Source organism: Homo sapiens, chromosome 17 (assembly GCF_000001405.40).
Source record: "Homo sapiens chromosome 17, GRCh38.p14 Primary Assembly".
NCBI lineage: Eukaryota > Metazoa > Chordata > Mammalia > Primates > Hominidae > Homo > Homo sapiens.
The window spans coordinates 67,538,993-67,558,895 of record NC_000017.11 but is presented as its reverse complement, the minus strand read 5'-3'; the positions used below and the strand labels follow the sequence as shown (position 1 = coordinate 67,558,895).

Below are 19,903 nucleotides of genomic sequence, written 5' to 3'. Positions count from 1 at the left end.
GCCCTGAGTAATCTCTCTCTCATAGTGGCTCAATACGATTTGAGGTTCTCATGAAAGAGTCATTTCATCCTCCCTGGTCTGTTGCAATTTTATTTTTCCACCTCTCTCATCTAAATAATTTAAAATGTTGGGTAACATTGACAACCCATCTGCCTTTGCTTCTGTCATTCTAACTAACACAAAGGTGCATCCCATTTCTCCTCTTTTGTGGATTCTTATTAAGAGAGATGCCGGTGGAGAGGGGTGATCACGGTCGCAAAATATATACGCCAACTGTATTACTCTAGGTCCCTGCTATCCATTTCCTGTAACTTAAGTTTTCAAATTCCTACAAACAAGAAGAAAATCCTTTGTTCTTCATTAGTACCAAGGCTGAATTGATACTGCTGATTTATGCTCATCTGAAAGCGCAGACTTTTTTTTTTTTTTAGCTCTAGAAAAACAAAATCAACTCCTTTGGAAGGCAGCCAGTCTCCTCAGGCACCTTTCTTTGCAGACTTTACCAACTTCAGAAGAACCCACCAGTTTGGAAGAACTGGTTGAATGGTCTGTCCTCTGTGAAACTGTCATTGTGTTGTTGTTTACTGTATAATTAAGTGTTTTTTTTTTCCCATAAGCAAGCTAAAGATGTTTTTCCCACTTCCTGGGCAAATGGCATTTCCACATAATTCTAAACACACGCAGTCACTCACAGTGATGAAAAAGCTCTTATGTCTTGATAATTGTGATAGTGCTGAAGCCCTAGATGACTCTAAATAGGTTTCTTTGCCTGGGCTTTGTCACGAATGAGGGCAGCATGAGGTCTGAGTAATAGGCTAAACAGTCAGATATAAGACCTAGGGGATCCTAGTATAGACATCCTCGTGCTCTGGACTAATGCTTTCCAAGAAGAGACATTGGTTTGGAGGTTTCTGAGCCCTCCGGGCTGCCTCTCTGAGGAAAGGAAGGGCACCGTGATCCTAACTGGGGCTCTGACCTTGGGGAAGTTTTGCTTTGAGGCACCGAACAGGAACTATGGAGCTTGGGAAAGACAGCAAGAAGAGGTATTTAGGATTAAAGGATCAGGGGATAAAGAGCACAATTCAAAAGCATTTAAAACAGGAAAAAAGACTAAGGCAACTGAAAGCATCTGTCATAAATCCTGGGTGCAGACTCTGTAGTCAGAGTCAAGGGTGGGTTCTGCCACCAGGGCTGTCGTGGACAGAGAGCGTGAGAACACGGCTGAATCTGAGTCAAGAGGTGGCAGCTTCAAACCGCACACTGTGGGCCCGGAGGACTGCACTAGAGCCAGAGAGAAAAATCCGGATCCCCTTGTCACCAGGGAGATGGAAAGAAAAGCTGTCCTATATTTGGGATGGAAAATAAAAGTGAACTAGCCAGGAACAATGTGACCTCCTCACAGAGAATTAAATCTAGACCTTGACCTGACATTGAAAACACCACGACCTGCCCTCCATCCATGTGTCCAGGTGGCCAGGATCCACCTCCATCACTTGCCCACTGGTCCTGGAAGGAGCATACTATGGGCCGAACTGTGTCTCCCCCAAATTCCTATGTTGAAGCTGTAATCCCCAGTGCAATGGTGTTTGGAGATGGGATTTTGGGACTAATCAGGTAGGGATGAGGTCACGAGGGTGGGGCCCTCATGATGGGATTAGTGCCCTTCAAAGATGAGACCAGAGAACTTGCTCTGTCTCTGCCATGTGAGGGCATAGCAAGAAGATGGCCACGTGCTTACCAGGAAGACAGCCCTCACCAGGAACCCAGTCGCACTTTCAGCTTCTGCAACTGTGAGAAATAAATGTCTGCTGCTCAAGCCCCCAAGTCTGTGGTGTTTCATTAGAGCAACATGAGCTAACACAGAACAGGCCTCTGCAGGGGGAGTTGTACTGTCCCTTCAGGTCCAGCCCAAATGCGACCTTCTCTGAGAAACCTCCTCATATTTCTCCCTGGCAGAATCCCTCTCTCCTTCCTACAATCCTCTGTCTGCACTTCAGCTCTAACACTTACATGCAACACAGTTCTTCCTTAAAATGCTGACAGTTATGTATTCATCTGCTACCACTTAATTTTCCCGAACTCTGCCTAGCTCCTTCCATTCCACCTCCTGAGCCAATCCTAACTGAGGCAGGAAGGCTCTTGGAGTGGTCCCATCAGTGCATTTGACTGTTAGTCTCAGACCTGTCCATTGAGCTGGACAAGCTCTGAGCTGAGCTGCCAGCAGAGATTCAGACCAGATGGCTGAATCTCTGGTCTGACCTTAGAGTTCCTATGGCATGTCAATTGCAGGATGGGTTCCCACATTACATACTTCTGGACCCCTCCCTTCCCTTGGCCCATCAGTGTGCCCTGTTCTCATAACTGATTTTTGTACTTGAGTCTCTGAGACCAGTTCTTCCACACCACCATCTCTCTCCCATAAATTTGCCAGACAAAATATGAGACAACAATCTTTTGGCATAATTATGTCCCATGCAACATGTGGGACACTCTTATACTAAATATTATTTACTGTTTATCTGAAAATTCAAAGTTACCTGGACATTCTGTATTTTCACTTACTAAGGTTGACAACCTTATCTCCCCAGCACCATGATACTGAGTAACCTCCTTGAGTGCTGTGTACTTTTCTTCCTGTCTCCCACATTGGGGACTGTAGCCCTGTCCCCAAAACTCAAGGCCCCAATGCAGAGGCCAGCACCCTTCTTTTCACATTGCAACTGCTTTATCTGGTTGGATTCCCCAGAGTCATTGATTCTGCCCTCTGCTGAGGTCTGAATCTCTGCTGGCAGCTCAGTTCAGAGCTTATCCAGCCCAGTGGACAGGTCTGAGGCCAGCTTGTTTCCTTGGCTAAGTCCCCTCTTGCCTCCAGAAAAGCCCAGCACTTGCTGATGACTGCCAGGCTTTGACTGGAATGTCCAGCTATTTCCAACCAGATTGTGACCCCAAATGACAGAGATAATTGCTCAGTTATGCCATCTAGCATGATGTTTTGTACCTCACTGATGCCTAATAAATGACCGTTGACTTAATTTTTTAATTTTTTATTTTTGAGATGGACTCTCACTCTGTTGCCCAGGCTGGAGTGCAGTGGTGTGATCTCAGCTCACTGCAACCTCTGCCTCCTGGGTTCAAATGATTCTCCTGTCTCAGCCTCCCAAGTAGCTGGGATTATAGGCGCCCGCCACCACACCCAACTACCTTTTTTTTTTTTTTTTTTTTTGTATTTTTAGTAGAGACAGGGTTTCACCATGTTGGCCAGGCTGGTCTGGAACTCCTGACTTCAAGTGATCCACCTGCCTCGGCCTCCCAAAGTGCTGGGATTACAGGTGTGAGCCACTGCACCCGGCCCAAAGTCTACCTCTTGATGATTATGCAGTTGCCAGAAGCAATGGAACTAGGGGGTAGTGTTGGTGGTAGGGAATCATTTAATTACCTGCTGTATACAGGCAGTGTGCTAACAGCTTTATATTTAGCGTTGGCAAAGTAGCCTGGGGGACAAATTTGACCCGCTGCCTGGGCATATATGACCATGCTAATTTGTTTACATACTATCTAAGGCTGCTCTTGCAGTGTCAGAGACTATATGACTCACAAAACAGAAAACATTTACAATATGACCCTCTAAAGACAATGTTTTCCAATCCAAGGGTAGACCACTGAATCCTTCCGCTAACATCTCTAGGAAGGAGGGATTATTCTAATTTCAGAAAAGAGGAAACAGGTTCAGAAAAGTTAAGATGTTCATTCTAGAGCAAAGGTTCCCCTGCTTCTAAAATTTTACATTTGCATTTTGCCATAAAATTGCCTCTTTTTTCAAAGTTAGGGACATTGCGGGGGGAAATACTATATATATTCCTATCATTTCAAAAAAGAAAAGATATTTTAATATCCGAGTATGATGGGATATAATTACCAACAGTACTTTGGATGAAATAAATTTAATGTTATGAAAATCTCTGAATACTATTCCTGTTTTTTCTTCATTCTGCAGAGGACTGGTGAGAACATAGTCGAGGACCAGTGTGAATTCAAGAACTGGCAGTTGGGAGCCAGTCGCTTAGGAATTCTGGCAGTGAGTGGCAAAACCAGAGGACAGCCAAGCCTTTCTGACGCCAAAGCCTGTGCTGGGACCATTTATCTATCTAGAATTTGTGTGTTCATTCTGTCATTCAATAACTATTGATTGAGCACCTACGATGCGTTGGGTACTATGCTCCTGCCCAGGGCATGACAAATCATTTTCTTCCATTTCTCTCACCACCTCTCTATCCTTTGGCTATTTGGATTGAACCCAAAAACTCAACTCTTAACACAGCTCAGAAAATCATAACTATTAGCCAGGTGTGGTGGCTCACACCTGTAATCCCAACACTTTGGGAAGCCAAGGTGGGCGGATCGCCTAAGGTCAGGAGTTCGAGACCAGCCTGGCCAACATGGTGAAACCCCATCTCTACCAAAAATAAAAAAATTAGCCGGGCGTGGTGGTGCACACCTGTAATCCCAGCTACTTGGGAGGCTGAGGCAGGAGAATTGCTTGAACCCGGTAGGTGAAAGTTTCTGTTGAGCCAAGATTGTGCCACTGCACTCCAACCTGGGTGATGGAGCGAGACTCCATCTCAAAAAAAAAAAAAAAAAAAAATCATAAACTATTTTCTTGTTGTGATAGGTTGACCTGTTAGCTGCTTGGGAAAATGATCTAAATGAAAATACCACAACACAATGATATTATAGGTTCTGTCTTTTTTTCTTTCAGTCTAAGTAATAACCCTAGAGGCTCTTAGGAGAAGAAGAAATTTTATCAAGCCACAGCGACTGCCCAACCCAGATCTCTGTTGTGCAAAATAGTTTGCACATGTGCCTCTTCACTTTCAAGCTTCTCCAACAAGGAATCAGGACACAGTCCATGAGTAAAAGCCCCACCTTCCATCGATAACTACCATCATCTCTTTAATATCACGTTGCTAGAAACTGTTCTTTTATTATAGTGAACTATCACCAACAAAGCAGTCAAGCTATTTAAAAATTACAAGCAAAGGCTGATTACGTAAAGTGACTATCAAGGCGATTTCAATTAGGATTCACATTCTTGAACAAATGAGAACATTCAAATTATTGCATTATATATAACGATGCAATAGCCTACATTTAAATATTTCTGACTTGGAATTATTCCCCTTTTTAATTATTACATTGATAAGACAAGTAATACAAGAGACATTCCAATTACTCCACTGATCATAGACAGAATGTTTAAAAATAATTAAATGGAACTTACTGTGTATTCTGTTTCCACATGTTCATTTGAAGAAGAGAGGAAAGAAAAAAGAGACAAAAGATGATTTAGATCATGCTTATATGCAATATAAAAACCACAGAACTAACAAATACTGACGAACTATAATTACAAAAGATGTCCTAATGAAACTTTCATAAATACTGAATGTCTCCGTGTTGCACTGAAATTCTTTCATGATACTTATGTGGTTGGGCAGATAAGAACAGTAAGACAAGATTCAATTAGCCTATAGGCTTGTGGCTAATTAAAAACCAAAGAGTTGGCATTATAAAAGCAAATGAAAGACTAATAATTCCAGTAGAGTATTTCATTAACCACAAAGGAAATCTTTTAAGTGGAAAAGCAGCTTTTGTAACCAATAAGAAGAGCTTGTTATTGATGACGTTGAGGTGGGATTTCAAATTTTGGTGTGTTTGAGGGCAGGAACCAAACCTTCTGAGTTTTTTTGGCCAAAGTTTCTAGGACAGTATTCAGTACAAAGAGTTTATTGTCATCGCATTGCAAGTGAGAGGGAGACTGACCTTAAATATTTTCATATTATCTAATAGCAAAGGAAGTCATCTGGGGGCAAAGAGAGATCCAATAGAATCTTTTATACAAAGTATAGTCAAAATTTGGAGTGGTAAAAACAAACAAGTCATAATAAGCAACTTGTTTACAGACAAATTATACCCCTAAATTACTTGGGAATTATTGAGGAAACAGGGAAATAAGAATCATAAAACCTCTGGAAATGTCTCTATAAAGATCTTCACCTTCCTTCTCCATAAGCTTTTTTTTTTTTTTTTTTTGACGGAGTCTCGCTGTGTTGCCCAGGCTGGCGTGCAGTGGCACAATCTTGGCTCACTGCAACCTCCACCTCCTGGTTTTGTATTTTTAGTAGAGACGGGGTTTCACCATGTTGGGCAGGCTGGTCTCGAACTCCTGACCTCACGTAATCCACCTGCCTCGGCCTCCCAAAGTGCTGGGATTACAGGAGTGAGCCACTGCGCCTGGCCCTCCGTAAACTATTTATTGTAACTCTAAGAACGAAGATGGAATGGCTTAGCTTAACCCCCCTGTCACCTGCCATCTCTGTGTCTGTGTTAGAAGTGTTGATAACCTACAAGTAAGAAACCAAAAAAAAAAAGAGGGATACTACGGGGCTCCCACAAGGCCCTGCTTGGATAATCCACTGTAAATCAGTGAAATTCAACTATGCTATGTCCTTGCACTCACTACATGTGCCATATGGTTGTACTAAGGACTTACCTGTAATTGTGTAGGGATAATAGTTCCAAGCCTTCTCTGTCACATAAAATATTTTGGGGACAACAGCTCTAGCCCAACTAGGCAGTTTGCTAAGAGGAAAGAAAGAAAAAAGACAATTGGAGTCTGTTCAGAGTCTCACCACACTACCACATCTTTCTGGATAAAATGCTGGAGAAATCAGGGGGATTCTGGGGCATCTCTTTTCTCCACAGCTGCCCTTTCCCCATCTCTTCGGTCTTTGTCATAGTTAACTTTTTCCCGTGCATATTCAAGTGCTCTCAAAATGTGTAAAGACAGAAGGCTACAGCCTGGTGGGGGACTCCATCAGACTGTCAGCCTGTCCTCTTTGGATTTGCAAAGACATGAGAATTCAGGGCCTGAAGGGTTCCATGTTTGGAGGGTTGGCCAGCCTGACCTTTGCCTCCTAGGAGTGGTATCACGGAATGTTTAAGCCCAAACACTGGCAGGGAGAGGAAGCTAATCTTAGAGATAGATGTCAGCCTAAGCAACTCATACAAGTGACATTTTGAAAATGGACAAAACCAACAGAGAGCAGCAACTTAGAGATAGGAAGAGCAACAAAATACAGTTGTAGTGGGTTGAATTGTGTCTGCCCCAAAAGATGGATCCACATCTTAATCTCCAGTAACTGTGAATATGACCTGATTTGAAAATAGGCTCTTCGCAGATGTAATTAATTTAAAGATCACAAGATGAAATCATCCTGGATTTAGGGTAAGCCCTAACTCCAATGACTGGTATCCTTATAAGAGAAAGGAGAAAGAGATTTGAGACTCAGAGACACACCGAGGGGACAGCCATGCAAGGACAGAGGCAGACATGGAAATGATGTTGCTGCAAGCCAAAGAACACAAGAAGCTGGGACAGAGGCCCGGGACAGATTCTCTCTCAGTTTCCCCAGAAGAAAACAACACTTTGATTTTGGGTTTCCGGCCCCCAGAACTGCTAGAGGATAAATCTGTGTTGTTTTAATCCACCTAATTTGCAGCAATTTGTTTCGGAAAGTTATTAGAAAGCCAATAAAATGACACAGCTGTTCCTCTGGAGCAGTCATTTGCAGAAAACAAATTCTCAAAAGGCACAGGTCCCAGGGTCTTTTGCAAACCAGAAAGCAATGTTTTGTTTTTCTTCAGAGGCAAAACTTAGAGAACAGTGCAGCCCCAGCTAATTCCTTAAATATTATATTGAAATATGTAATATTTCTATTCCTTAAGATACATCTGCATGATTTCACTTTTTTGTTTGTTTTGTTTTGTTTTGTTTTGACACGGAGTCTCGCTCTGTCACCCAGGCTGGAGTGCACTGGTGCAGTCTCGGCTCACTGCAAGCTCCGCCTCCCAGGTTCACGCCATTCTCCTGCCTCAGCCTCCTGAGTAGCTGGGACTACAGGCGCCAGCCACCACGCCCGGCTAATTTTTTGTATTTTTAGTAGAGACGGGGTTTCACCGTATTAGCCAGGATGGTCTCGATCTCCTGACCTCATGATCCACCCGCCTCGGCCTCCAAAAGTGCTGGGATTACAGGTGTGAGCGACTGCGCCCGGCCCATGATTTCATTTTTATTCCAGCCCGATAACCAAGTGTTTCTGTCCTTCCAGAGGCTACCATTTGCTACTTTTCTACTCTGGGGCCTATAGCTAAGTGTCTGGGCCACTCATGCCTAGCAGTCGATCGGATCCAGGAAGACGACGTATACTCTCAGCAACTTAGCTACATGTTGGAAATAAGAAACATCAAGAAGCGGTTTTGAATTCCAAGCTGATAGAACCAGGAGGCTGGAAGGGACATGGAGCTAACAGAACCCCAAGTCTCAAACCCCTCTTGGATGCGAAATCTAAATGACAATCAGAGCCCGTAAAATACTGCGTACCTTGCCTGTCTTTTCCAGTTGTTTCTCTTATTTCTGACAGTAACCAGGCCTGGCTTTTGAAAACACAAAGATGGACTCTCAGTGGCTGGCCGGACCTAACCCATAGCTCTGCGCTGTTAATCAGGGTTAAAACAAATAGGAAAGCAAAGTTCCCCGGAAGTGGAGTGAGTGTCAGATGAAGGCCCCTGCTCTTAGGCGGGCTCTGAGGAGTCAGCAGAAGCAGTTTGATCATTCACATAACAATCCTTCTTGCTGCTCTGATGCAGAATTTTTCACTCCTATAAAATCCTCTCTGCAGTAACTGCTCATTTCCCTTACGTTCACGCTGCTCAAAAGGATGGGGTTTTTATAGCTTTCGCTGATGATGTATTCCATCCATCACCGAAGTTGGAGTGCAACTCAGGTGACGCTGACAGTGGGAAAATTACACTGGCTCGCGTGCAGGAAATGGTCATGAGCAAAACTTCCCCTGGTTCCTTCCTGTTTGCCCCCACACCCTAGCGCAATATGCCAATGGTAGTGTGGGAAGATGTGGATTCTGGTTGCAGGCAGGTGATTTTCTTGTGCTTTTAATGGACTGACTCAGGGTTGGAGAATCTCCCTCACGTAAGCCAGGCATTGTTTAGCTTAGACAAAGCGCATATGTCTCCCTACGGTATTAAAGCCCCTTCTCCACTGTCCTCTTGTGGGCAGGGGTTCCATCTACATTGCACCCCTCCTCAAATTCACTCCAATCCTCATGCATAGTAGTAGTCCGGGGCCCAAGTACCTCCTCGCCCCGTAATTCATTTCCTATAGCAATTTAAAAGCCTCCCAGCAGAACTATACTCCTGAGCCACAGTCATTTTCTGGAAGGGAGGTGAAAATTATTGGCAATTTTCCATCCAAGTCGAGACTTTTTCTATTTGTAAATGGTCCCTCAGGACCCCAGATTCTAGAATCTATTTTAGCTGTTTCAGCCACCAACTTATATAGGATATGCAGCACGATAATCAATGACCTTTTCCATTGAGATGGCCTAAAAAACCACGATCATTTAGTCAAGATAGCTGATATTTTATGGAACTCTTCTTCCTTTTTTGGGAGACGTCTCGCTCTATCCCCACACGAGAGTGCAGTGGCGCAATCTTGGCTCACTGCAACCTCCGTCTCCTGGGTTCAAGCTATAGAGACAGGGTTTCGCCATGTTGACCAGGCTGGTCTTGAACTCCTGACCTCAGGTGATCCGCCCGCCTCGGCCTCCTAAAGTGCTGGGATTACTGGCATGAACCACCGCGCCCGGCCTGAACTCTTCTAATCAGTCTGGAAAGGAGGTTCCTTCTGGTATTTTCCAGGCCAGACGCGAGAGGTATTTGCAACAAGTTCCATGATGCGCTATTTAAATACTTTTAAGCCCACCAACAGATCTTCTCTCAGCCCCCGATTTCCTCACAGCACATCATTATTCCAATCATTTGTCTGAGAAAGTAAAATTTATTTTTCCCTGCAGCAATGATTTATCAGGGCCTGCAAAGGAAAATGGAATTAAATTAGTCCCCACTGTTGCTGTCACTTTCATGATGTATACTGTCACACAGCCTACAATTCCAAGAAAAAGTCTGTCACTCATGCTCACTCTAAGTGTCAAACAAGAGCCTCTCTATTAGAAAGGCAGCAAGTTTGAATCGAGTCTCCTTGGTCTATGGGCTAGGATCAAACCTCCAATGGCCCATCTCACCAGGGCTCAGGCTTTAGAGACATTGAGGAAAAAGAGGGGCAAAATGATACCACAAGCAGCATCATATTCCCCCAGATGCCTTGTCAATGCCTCCCAAAGACAGACTTTTCAAAAGCTTTGGTTTCTTACTCACTTTATTTATTTATTTGAGACAGAGGCTTGCTCTGTCGCCCAGGCTGGAGGGCAGTGGCACAATCTCGGCTCACTGCAACCTCCATCTCCCAGGTCCAAGCGATTCTCCAGCCTCAGCCTACCATGTAGCTGGGATTACAGGTGCATGCCACCACGCCAGGCTTATTTTTGTATTTTTAGTAGAGACAAAGTTTCACCATGTTGGCCAGGCTGGTCTCGAACTCTTGACCTCAAGTGATCCACCCGCCTTGGCCTCCCAAAGTGTTGGGATTACAGGCATGAGCTACCATGGCCAGCCCGGGTTCTTACTTTTAAACGTTGGTATAAAATAGAACATATCAATGACACAGCCAAGTGGACAACTCATCTGGTTTGCCTGGGACTTCCCTGGTTTTAACACTGAAAGTCCCACCTGCCAGAAAATCCCTCAGTTCCAGGCAAACTGGGATGGTTGGTCACCCTAGAACAGGAGTTCTCACTAGAGGGAGATTTTGCCTCCTGCAGGAGACACCTGGCAATGTCTGGACATTTTCGGTTGTCTCAACAGAGGCGAGGTGGGGTGGGCAGTGCTACTGGCATCTACTGAGCAGAGAGAGGCCCAGGGTGCGGCTCAGCCTCCTATGATGCACAGGATAGCCGCCCCCCACCACCACAGCAAATAAAGATCCAGCCCAAAGCATCAGCAGCAACAAGGTTTTGAACCCTGGCAGATCATCTCTCATGTCATAAATTCCCCAAGGTTCCCGAAATCACAACTGATTTAATAAGAAGGTTCAGGGGCAGGCATAATCTGAACTGGTCTCAGGTTATGGGTGTTTACCTACTTCATAAAGAGCTTCTGGAGCAGAACCTAAATCATCCCTCCATTAGAAGCTTCTGGTACTTTACGATCCCTATGATCACAAAATTCAAAACTCCCCCTGGTACCTGATCTCACATTGCAATGTATGCTCACTTGGGCTTTGGCTCCAGGAGGTTTTGAACATCATTAGGCCAAACGTGTCTAAATAGAGTCTAATTTCATTTTCTCAACAGGGGTCAGAATTACGGTGGTCTTAACTAGAAATTTTATTTTGTTCTTTTTCTCTTTTGAGACAGGGTCTCGCTCTGTTGCCCAGGCTGGAGTACAGTGGCATGATCGTATCTCACTGCAGCCTTGACTTCCTGGGCTTAAGTGATCCTCCTGCCTTGGCCTCCCTGGTAGTTGCGACTAAAGGCATGCACCACCACACCCAGCTAATTTTTAAATTTTCTGGTAGAGATGGGGTCTCACTATGTTGCCCAGACTGGAATCAAACTCCTGGGCTCAAGCAATCCTCCCATCTCGGCCTCCTGAAATGCTGGGATTACAGGCATGAGCCAGTGCACCTGGCCTTTACCAGAACTTGAACATTCCCAGCAGAAAAGACAGTCCTGGAATTTTCTTCTCAACAGCGTACCTAAAACCTGCCATGTTCTGCACTGAGATTATGCTGAAATGACTGCAGCTCATTTTAAATAGAACTCTGCTACCTTCATATCCTCATTTCTCACAAGATAGTCCAGGAGGAATATACTGACCTTTTGTTTCCTTCTTGTACTAAAACTGGCAATTGACATCTGTTTGATTCATAATCAATTGCCCCCATCCAGTTCTATGTGCAGTGATTTCTGGGGTCTTAAAATATCTTCTCCAGCTGCTCTGATTCATTTAGTTACTCTTCTAAGTGATTGTTCTGGCTGGTCTTTTACTTGTGCTCTTAATGTAATTGTTTATATGGCAGTAGGGAAGTGAGCAGTTTCGGGACCAGAGTTATCAGCTGTGGGAGGCAAGGCTGCCGGGGCCTCCCCGGCAGGGACTGGCCAGAAACCAAGTTCCTTGAACTTGGACTCACGGGCCCCACCCCCGACCTCCCTGCTTAACAAGACAGTTTGTGTCAGGATTCTGGGAAAAGGAGCCTGCCTCCTGCAGGTTCCTGGAAGGCTCAGCTTGGACAGCATCAGGGTTATGTGGACAGTGTGCTGAGAAGCCCCTGGCAAGGCGACACAGGACACACCATCATCCATCAGCAGTGAGGCAGAACCCAGGTGGAAAGCCTCCTGGAAAACCTCTGAGATCCCAACCAGGCCTAAACATTCTGTTTCTATGAGTTCCTACAGGAGCACAGGGAAGAGGGGCCCGGTAGCATGAGAGTCCCTCACAAGTCCTTAAGTACTCAGATGGGGACAGAATAGGATAGCATGGACTGAAAGGTTGGAAGGAAGCACCCCATGTGCTCTATTATTTTCCATAACACTTATCACCTTCTAAATATATATATATATATATATACATATATAGTCTCCCTATATAAATAATATGTAATATACATAAGTATACAGACTATATAAAAGTATATATTCTAGACGATATACTGTTTTGTTTTTGTTTTTGTTTTTGTTTTTGTTTTTGAGATGGAGTCTCACTTTGTCACCCAGGCTGGAGTGCAGTGGCATGACCTCCACCTCCCAGGTTCAAGTGATTCTCCTGCCTCAGCCTCCCGAGTAGCTGGGACTACAGGCGCGGGACACCACTCCCGGTTAATTTTTTGTATTTTTCCTAGAGATGGCGTTTCATCATGTTAGCCAGGATGGTCTTGATCCACCCACCTCGGGCTCCCAAAGTGCTGGGATTATAGGGGTGAGCCACCGCACCTGGCCAATATACTGTTCTTTATTATGGCTATTGTGCACTGTCACTCCCGAGTGGAATGCAAGTCCCACCAGGGCAGGGATGTTTGCTCTGTTCACTATTGCAACCCCAGCACCTAGAACGGTGTGTGATGCCCAGCAGGTGTTTCTGTCTCTCCGTCTGTGTATGTGTGTGTATATATATATGTATAGACTATGTATACAGTCTAATATTCACATAGTCAAGTAACTTGACCAGCTATTACTAGATAAGGAGCCATCTTTCAAACATAGCATGGGCAGCAGCTTATATATTTTGGTAAAAAAATAAAAATAAATGAATAAATGGATAGAGAGACCCATATTTTATGTTATTTATTTTGAGACAGAGTCTTGCTCTGTCACCCAGGCTGGAATGCAGTGATGCAATCTCAGCTCGCTGCAACCTCCACCTCCTGGGTTCAAGCAATTCTCATGCCTCAGCCTCCAGAGTAGCTGGGACTACAGGCATGCCACCACACCTGGTTAATTTTTGTATTTTTAGTAGAGCTAGGGTTTCACCTTGTTGGCCAGGCTGGTCTCAAACGCCTGACCTCAAGTGATCTGCCTGCTTGGCCTCCCAAAGTGCTGGGAGACCCATATTTTAGAAGCAGGGTCTCACTTTGTCACCCAGGCTGGAGTGCAGCGGTGCCATCATAGCTCACTGCAACCCTGAACCCTTGGGCTCAAGCAGTCCTCCTGCCTCAGCCTCCTGAGTAGCTAGGACTACAAGAGTGTGCTACCACGCCTGCCTATATCTTAAAGTTTTTGTAGAGACAGAGTCCCACTATGTTGCCCAGGCTTGTCTCGAACTCCTGGCCTCAAGGGATCCTCCTGCCTCAGCCTCCCAAAGTGCTGGGATTACAGGCGTGAACCACCACACCCGGCCTCAATAAGTATTTTTTTAATGACTAAATATTGTCTTTGTATATCTAGAAGTTAACAATCACCATAGAGATTCTTGGAAAAATAGCATGAAAATGAGCTATTTGGTCAGAGTCTATGTCTCTGATGCTGTCTCTATTGCCTGTTGCCCGGGCAGTGGAATATCCCAAAGCCACACAAGTTCTGGGCACTGAGCTTATTTTGGGGAAGATCTGGGAGAACAGGAAGCAGAAATGGGAAAGAGAGACCCAAGCCATGACCACAAGGTTCTATCAACAAGCTGTTAGGTAAAAGGACCAGCTGGTAGCTTTGCAAGCCCATCAGTTAAAAAAGAGTTCATGACTTATGAAAGCTTTATCCTCTCCTACCCAAAGCCATCAGAGGCCAGGAGACATTGCCGTGGAAGGCAAGGGCCATGTAGCGGGAAAAATGTTCTCTCCCTGAAAATCAATTCAGGCATTAGGCGGAATCACCGTTAGAAGCTGGCAACCCTCCCTGACTGGCAGCTGCCAGCACAGCCTAATTAATCCAGCAGCCAGGGTGGTGAAGAACATGACACTTCATGGTTGAAAAACAAGCCTAAAAATAGCCTCCATCTTTTCTCCAGTGCCCCTCCACCCCCACCCCCATTCCCTCCCCTCCTGGGCTTCAGTGGGAAGGGATCCGAGAGATGCTAGCGACGAAGTGAAAAGAAAAGGTGACAAAAGAAAAGTCCACCTTCATATGTTTCTGGGTGACAGGTTTTATTTAGAATCACTATTCTAGAATTTGATTAGTATCATGCCCCCATTCCTTGGATGCCAGTTGTAACCAGGATTTTTGAAGACGTGTCAAGGCATACTACTTACTTGGTTAACTGAACTGGATCAAAAGCCCAAGCACACGCCGGGTGTGGTGGCTCATGCCTGTAATCCCAGCACTTTGGGAGGCCAAGGTGGGCGGATCACCTGAGGTCAGGAGTTCGAGACCAGCCTGGCCAACATGGCAAAACCCCGTCTCTACTAAAAACACAAAAATTAGCCCGGCGTGGTAGCAGGTGTCTATAATCCCAGCTACTCAGGAGGCTGAGGCGGGAGAATCGCTTGAACCTGGGAGGCGGAGGTTGCAGTGAGCCAAGATTACAGCACCGCACTCCTGCCTGGGTGACAGAGCGAGATTCCCTCTTAATTACCCAATGTATTATTGTATTAGTACTAATGTAAATGTACTAATGCATTAGTACTCATATACCAAATATATTAGGCAACCATCATAATGTACTATATATCAACAGTATGTCAGATGCTGTAGGAGGGGGCCAGAAGATGAAGCAACCCCACAATCTCTGGGAAATGAGAGGCATGTATTAAAAGGATAAATGGCATTTTCAACGGACATTGGACCCAATTAAAAAATTGGCAAAGGAATAGACATTTCTCCAAAGAAGATATACAAATGGCCAATGAACACATGAAGAGACGGTCAACATTAGTCACTAGAGAAAAGCAAATGAAAACTACAGCGAGATACCACTTCACACCCACTAGGATGGCTATCATCAAAAAGACAACAATAGCAAGCGTCAGTGATTATGTGGAGAAATTGGAGCCCTATTGCATTCCTGGTGGGAATATAAAACAGTGCAGCCACTTTGGAAAACGGTTTAGCAGTTCCTTTCTCCCATTCACTGGTAGCCCAGGGCTTGGTCTGGGAACCCAATGGGACACTTGTGTTTGGGATTTTGGAACAAGTGGTGGAAAGAAAAACAGGACAATTCAGATCTACTCAGGGCAGCTGCGGTGCTGATGGCTGCAGGCAGCAGAGGTAGGGGGTGATGAGGGCAGAATGACGCCATCTGGCTCTACTTAAAGATGGCTGTCATCATGGGGCTGTTGATTTCTGCCCACTCTTAAGCCTCCAGATGATCCTGAGGGCTCCTAACATCTTTCCATGAAATGTCCTTTCTGCTCAAGAGACTCAGTTTCTCTTGCTGGCAACTGTGGACCTTAACTGCTAAAGCCTCACGCCTCCTTTTTGGCCTGTCTGCCACTCATCCCCCACAGACAACATAACCACCAGCCAAAGCACACCAGTGGTCGATAGATGGATGTTTACACTATCTTTGCTTAGTGATAATAATTATTGTGGACTCTAACTCCCCTTTGAGCAACTTTCTCATTTCCACATTAACTGGAGAGTAGGCTGTGATTACACAGGCTTTGAATATTTCCAGTGCCTCTAATAATTACTTTAGGTAATCAATAAGGCAGTTTCTGAATGTGGTTTGACTTCCCATACAGATTGATGTAAGGAAGAGAATCCACTCACTATGCCGGCTCATGCGTTCAGGTCCATAGGTCAATGATAATTGTCTGTGTACATTATTAAATGGGCACTGGGAACATCTTAGTTACGGCCGGTCCAACAATCAGGACCCACTGCCCTGTGGACTTATGAAAATGCCTTGGACCCTACCTTGATCAGGAGGCAAGAACCATGACCATGGCTTATTTCTTAAGGGATTCTCTCCAATGCCTGCACAATGTGTTGTACGTCGTACATTTCAGCAAATACTCGTTTAATGAATTATGACTCTGAAGCAGCCCAACCCACAAGGCAGTCACATGACTTATGCATGGAGGACTTGAGTCACCTTGAGGTGGCTCTACGTTGTGATGATTAAACAATGGATTTGGTTTTCTTTTATGATGATGGGGATTTATCTAATTAATTCATATTCTGTCAATTTTTTTCTTTCTCTCTTGCTAACTCATAATCTCCCTGGTTCCAAAATATGCATCCATACTCTACCAAATACGCCCAAGAACTTTTTAAAATTATGAAATGGTGGACCTGGTTTAGAATGGTGCAAGCATAACTAAAAATACTTCTTTTCTTGTGCCTCATTGGTTACATATGTATGCTGGAGGAGAATCAGGACAATCAATGACTGATAGATAGTTTGAGTGTAGAAAGTTAGGGTTGAAAAGGATCTTCCAGGCTGTCCAACTTAACCAGCCACCCAATATGTTCAACCGCCTATTAGATATTTGAATCTGCTTCAGGACACCCTGATGAACAGGGTCTCACTCTTGCTGAAACACCTCCAGCAATAGCAAAATCCACTATAAGGCATTCTGAGATGGTTTGTGTGCTTGGAAATTTCTTCCTTAACCTGAGCCGAAGTCTTTCTCCTGGCATTCCTACCCACTGGTCTTGGTCCCATTGGTCCTGCTAAGTGAGGTCTTGTGGCATACACAGTTCTGAGTCTTCTCCATCTAATGGCACCATGATACACTCAAGTCTAGCTTTTCCGGGTTAAATATCCTTGGTTTCTTCAGTCATTCTTTCTATCACTTGAGTTTCTAGATATAGTTTGTCTATATCCATTTTAAAGTGTGCCATTTAGGAACAGATAAAAATATTCCAAGTATGTTCTGACTAGTGGAAAATTGGGCAAGATTATCAAGTACATGGTTTTAGATATTTTACGTTACTTTTATTGATTCAGTTGAAGAATAATTTTTGCAGCTGTATAATCTATTACACACACACTAAATTATTGTGTGTGTGTGTGTGTGTGTGTATGTATAATTGCTTCATATTGAATTGTCAACTAAACCCACTGTATTTCTTTCAAACAGGCCATTGCAAAGTTATCAGTGTTTCATCCCATACTTATATAATTTGTATTTTGGGATCCAAAGATAAGACCATATACTTGCCCCTATTTAATTTCATCTTGATAGAAAATGGCCTGTAATTCCAAACTACTGAAGTTTTTCTGGATCCTCACTCAGTCTTTTATTTTATTTATTTTTATTTTTATTATTATTTTTTGAGATGGAGTCTGACTCCGTCACCCGGGCTGGAGTGCAGTGGTGCAGTCTTGGCTCTCTGCAACATCTGCCTCCCAGGCTCAAGTGATTTTCACGGCTCAGCCTCCCGAGTAGCTGGGATTACAGGCGTCTGACACCGCTCCTGGCGAATTTTTGCATTTTTAGCAGGCAGGGTTTCACCATGTTGGCCAGGCTGGTCTCGAACTCCTGACCTCAAGTGATCCATCTGCCTCAGCCTCCCAAAGTGCTCGAATTACAGGTGTGAGCCATTGCGTCCAGCCCTCACTCAGTCTTTTAGAGTTATCATCCTTCCTGGCTGTGGGTTTCTCAAGGGTATGGAAAGGATATCTTCTAGATATTTAGCCAGATGTTGGCTTAAAAAATCCAATAGGACCAAATTCAGACTTCTGAGTCACATTACTAAATCACATTATTTTTAAGTTACACATAGAATTTTCTCTCTTGGTTGCCACTATCCATCATCTGTACCTTTTGTTATTCAATCAGTCACTAATCCATCCAGTTTTGACAGTAACCAGGTTTCATTTCTCCACCTAATTTACTTTTAAAATATTATGTTTAATTGTGGAGAATTTCACTTACATAAAAAATATATAAAAAATCGAGAGAAAGGTAACAGACATGCATGTATCTGCCACCCAGAATTTATATTTTCGATTTTATTTTTAAATTACAGTAAAATAGACCATTGTTGGTGTACACTTCTGAATTTTAACATTACCATTCAGATTTAACAAACTAACATTTCCCCATATTTGTGATGAACTTTCTTCTTTTAAAAAAAGGAATAGGCCAGGTGCGATGGCTCACACCTGTAATCCCAGCACTTTGGGAGGCCAAGGTGGGAGGATCATTTGAGGTAAGGAGTTAGAAACCAGCCTGCCCAACATGGTGAAACACCGTCTCTACTAAAACATACACAAATTAGCCAGGCGTGGGAGCATGTGCCTGTAATCCCAGCTACTCAGGAGGCTGAGGCACGAGTATCTCTTGAGCCCGGAAGGCAGAGATTGCAATGAGCCAAGATCATGCCACTGCACTCCAGCCTGGGTGACAGAGCAAGACTCCATCTCGAAAAAATAAATAAAATAAAATAAAATAAAATAAAATAAAATAAAATAAAATGTAGTAGATACAGGTAAAGTTTCCTCTCATGCCAACTCATTCCTCTCCCTCCTCAAAGGTAACCACAACCTGAGGGTGGTTTCTCCATGTTTTGGTGCTTTTATTACATATGCGGTTGTCTGTAAACAATATATATAAATGTAGTAATATTATGCATATTGTATATCTTAATAGTAGATATAAATGGCATCATACTATATGTGTATATATACATTTGTTTGTTTGTTTGTTTGAGACGGCGTCTCGTTCTGTCACCCAGGCTCGAGTGCAGTGGCGCGATCTCGGCTCACGGCAACCTCCACCTCCCGGGTTCACGCCATTCTCCTGCCTCAGCCTCCCGAGTAGCTGGGACTCCAGGTGCCCGCCACCACGCCCGGCCAATTTTTAATATTTTTAGTAGAGACGGGGTTTCACCGTGTTAGCCAGGATGGTCTCGATCTCCTGACCTCGTGATCCACCCGCCTCGGCCTCCCAAAGTGCTGGGATTACAGGCGTGAGCCATCGTGCCGGGACTTGTTTTTGTTTTTTGCAGCTGATATATTGCACGTTACGATGTGCATTTGAAATTTATCAAAGTATGTCTAGTTCATTAAGTTGAACTGCTGTGGAATTTTCCATTACGTGAATGTGCCATAATGTATTCCCATTCACAGATACTTGAATCGCTTCCATTTCTTTTCTATTGCATACAGCATTAGGACTAATCTCCTGGTAAATGTCTCCTTGTGTACAGTGCAAGAATTTTTCTAGGGCTCTACCTAGAAATATAATTGTTAAGTGGAATGTATATATGTTTTCAACTTTTCCAGTTGCTGTCCATTGCTCTCTAAAGAGGTGGTATCAGTTTATATCTCTTACTAGCATTGGAAGTGAGTTATTTTCACATATCTTTGTGAACACCTGGCATTATCAGATTTTTAAAATTTTTGTCTATCTGATGTGTGTAAAAGAGGATGCTATTGCTTTTTTATTTTGTGTTTTCCAATAAGGTGGGAATTTTTTTCATGTTTATATTAGCCATTCTCATTTCCTCTTTTCTGAATTGCATGTTCAATCCTTTGCCCATCTTTTGATTGG

General features: G+C 43.9%; 1 protein-coding gene across 3 annotated transcripts in view, besides 4 other annotated features; it reads right to left on the bottom strand.

Annotated features, from left to right (window-relative positions):
- PITPNC1 (phosphatidylinositol transfer protein cytoplasmic 1) overlaps nucleotides 1–19,903 on the bottom strand; it is a 319,976-nt gene that overhangs the window by 138,361 nt on the left and 161,712 nt on the right. For all 3 annotated transcript variants that reach the window (NM_181671.3, NM_012417.4, XM_047435746.1), the window contains exons 3-4: nucleotides 6,551–6,639; nucleotides 5,279–5,286 (exon numbers count right to left, since the gene is read on the bottom strand). In NM_181671.3, the coding sequence (NP_858057.1) occupies nucleotides 5,279–5,286; nucleotides 6,551–6,639 (97 nt within the window). The remainder of the gene's footprint in view (nucleotides 1–5,278; nucleotides 5,287–6,550; nucleotides 6,640–19,903) is intronic.
- Nucleotides 2,346–2,845: an enhancer, noted in NCBI's record as "H3K27ac hESC enhancer chr17:65552167-65552666 (GRCh37/hg19 assembly coordinates)". NCBI's record gives its function as "activates a minimal SCP1, AML or CMV promoter by ChIP-STARR-seq in primed H9 embryonic stem cells {active_cell/tissue: H9 hESC(primed)}" and the evidence as "EXISTENCE:reporter gene assay evidence [ECO:0000049][PMID:30033119]".
- Nucleotides 2,846–3,347: an enhancer, noted in NCBI's record as "H3K27ac hESC enhancer chr17:65551665-65552166 (GRCh37/hg19 assembly coordinates)". NCBI's record gives its function as "activates a minimal SCP1, AML or CMV promoter by ChIP-STARR-seq in primed H9 embryonic stem cells {active_cell/tissue: H9 hESC(primed)}" and the evidence as "EXISTENCE:reporter gene assay evidence [ECO:0000049][PMID:30033119]".
- Nucleotides 18,678–19,177: an enhancer, noted in NCBI's record as "H3K4me1 hESC enhancer chr17:65535835-65536334 (GRCh37/hg19 assembly coordinates)". NCBI's record gives its function as "activates a minimal SCP1, AML or CMV promoter by ChIP-STARR-seq in naive H9 embryonic stem cells {active_cell/tissue: H9 hESC(naive)}" and the evidence as "EXISTENCE:reporter gene assay evidence [ECO:0000049][PMID:30033119]".
- Nucleotides 19,178–19,679: an enhancer, noted in NCBI's record as "H3K4me1 hESC enhancer chr17:65535333-65535834 (GRCh37/hg19 assembly coordinates)". NCBI's record gives its function as "activates a minimal SCP1, AML or CMV promoter by ChIP-STARR-seq in naive H9 embryonic stem cells {active_cell/tissue: H9 hESC(naive)}" and the evidence as "EXISTENCE:reporter gene assay evidence [ECO:0000049][PMID:30033119]".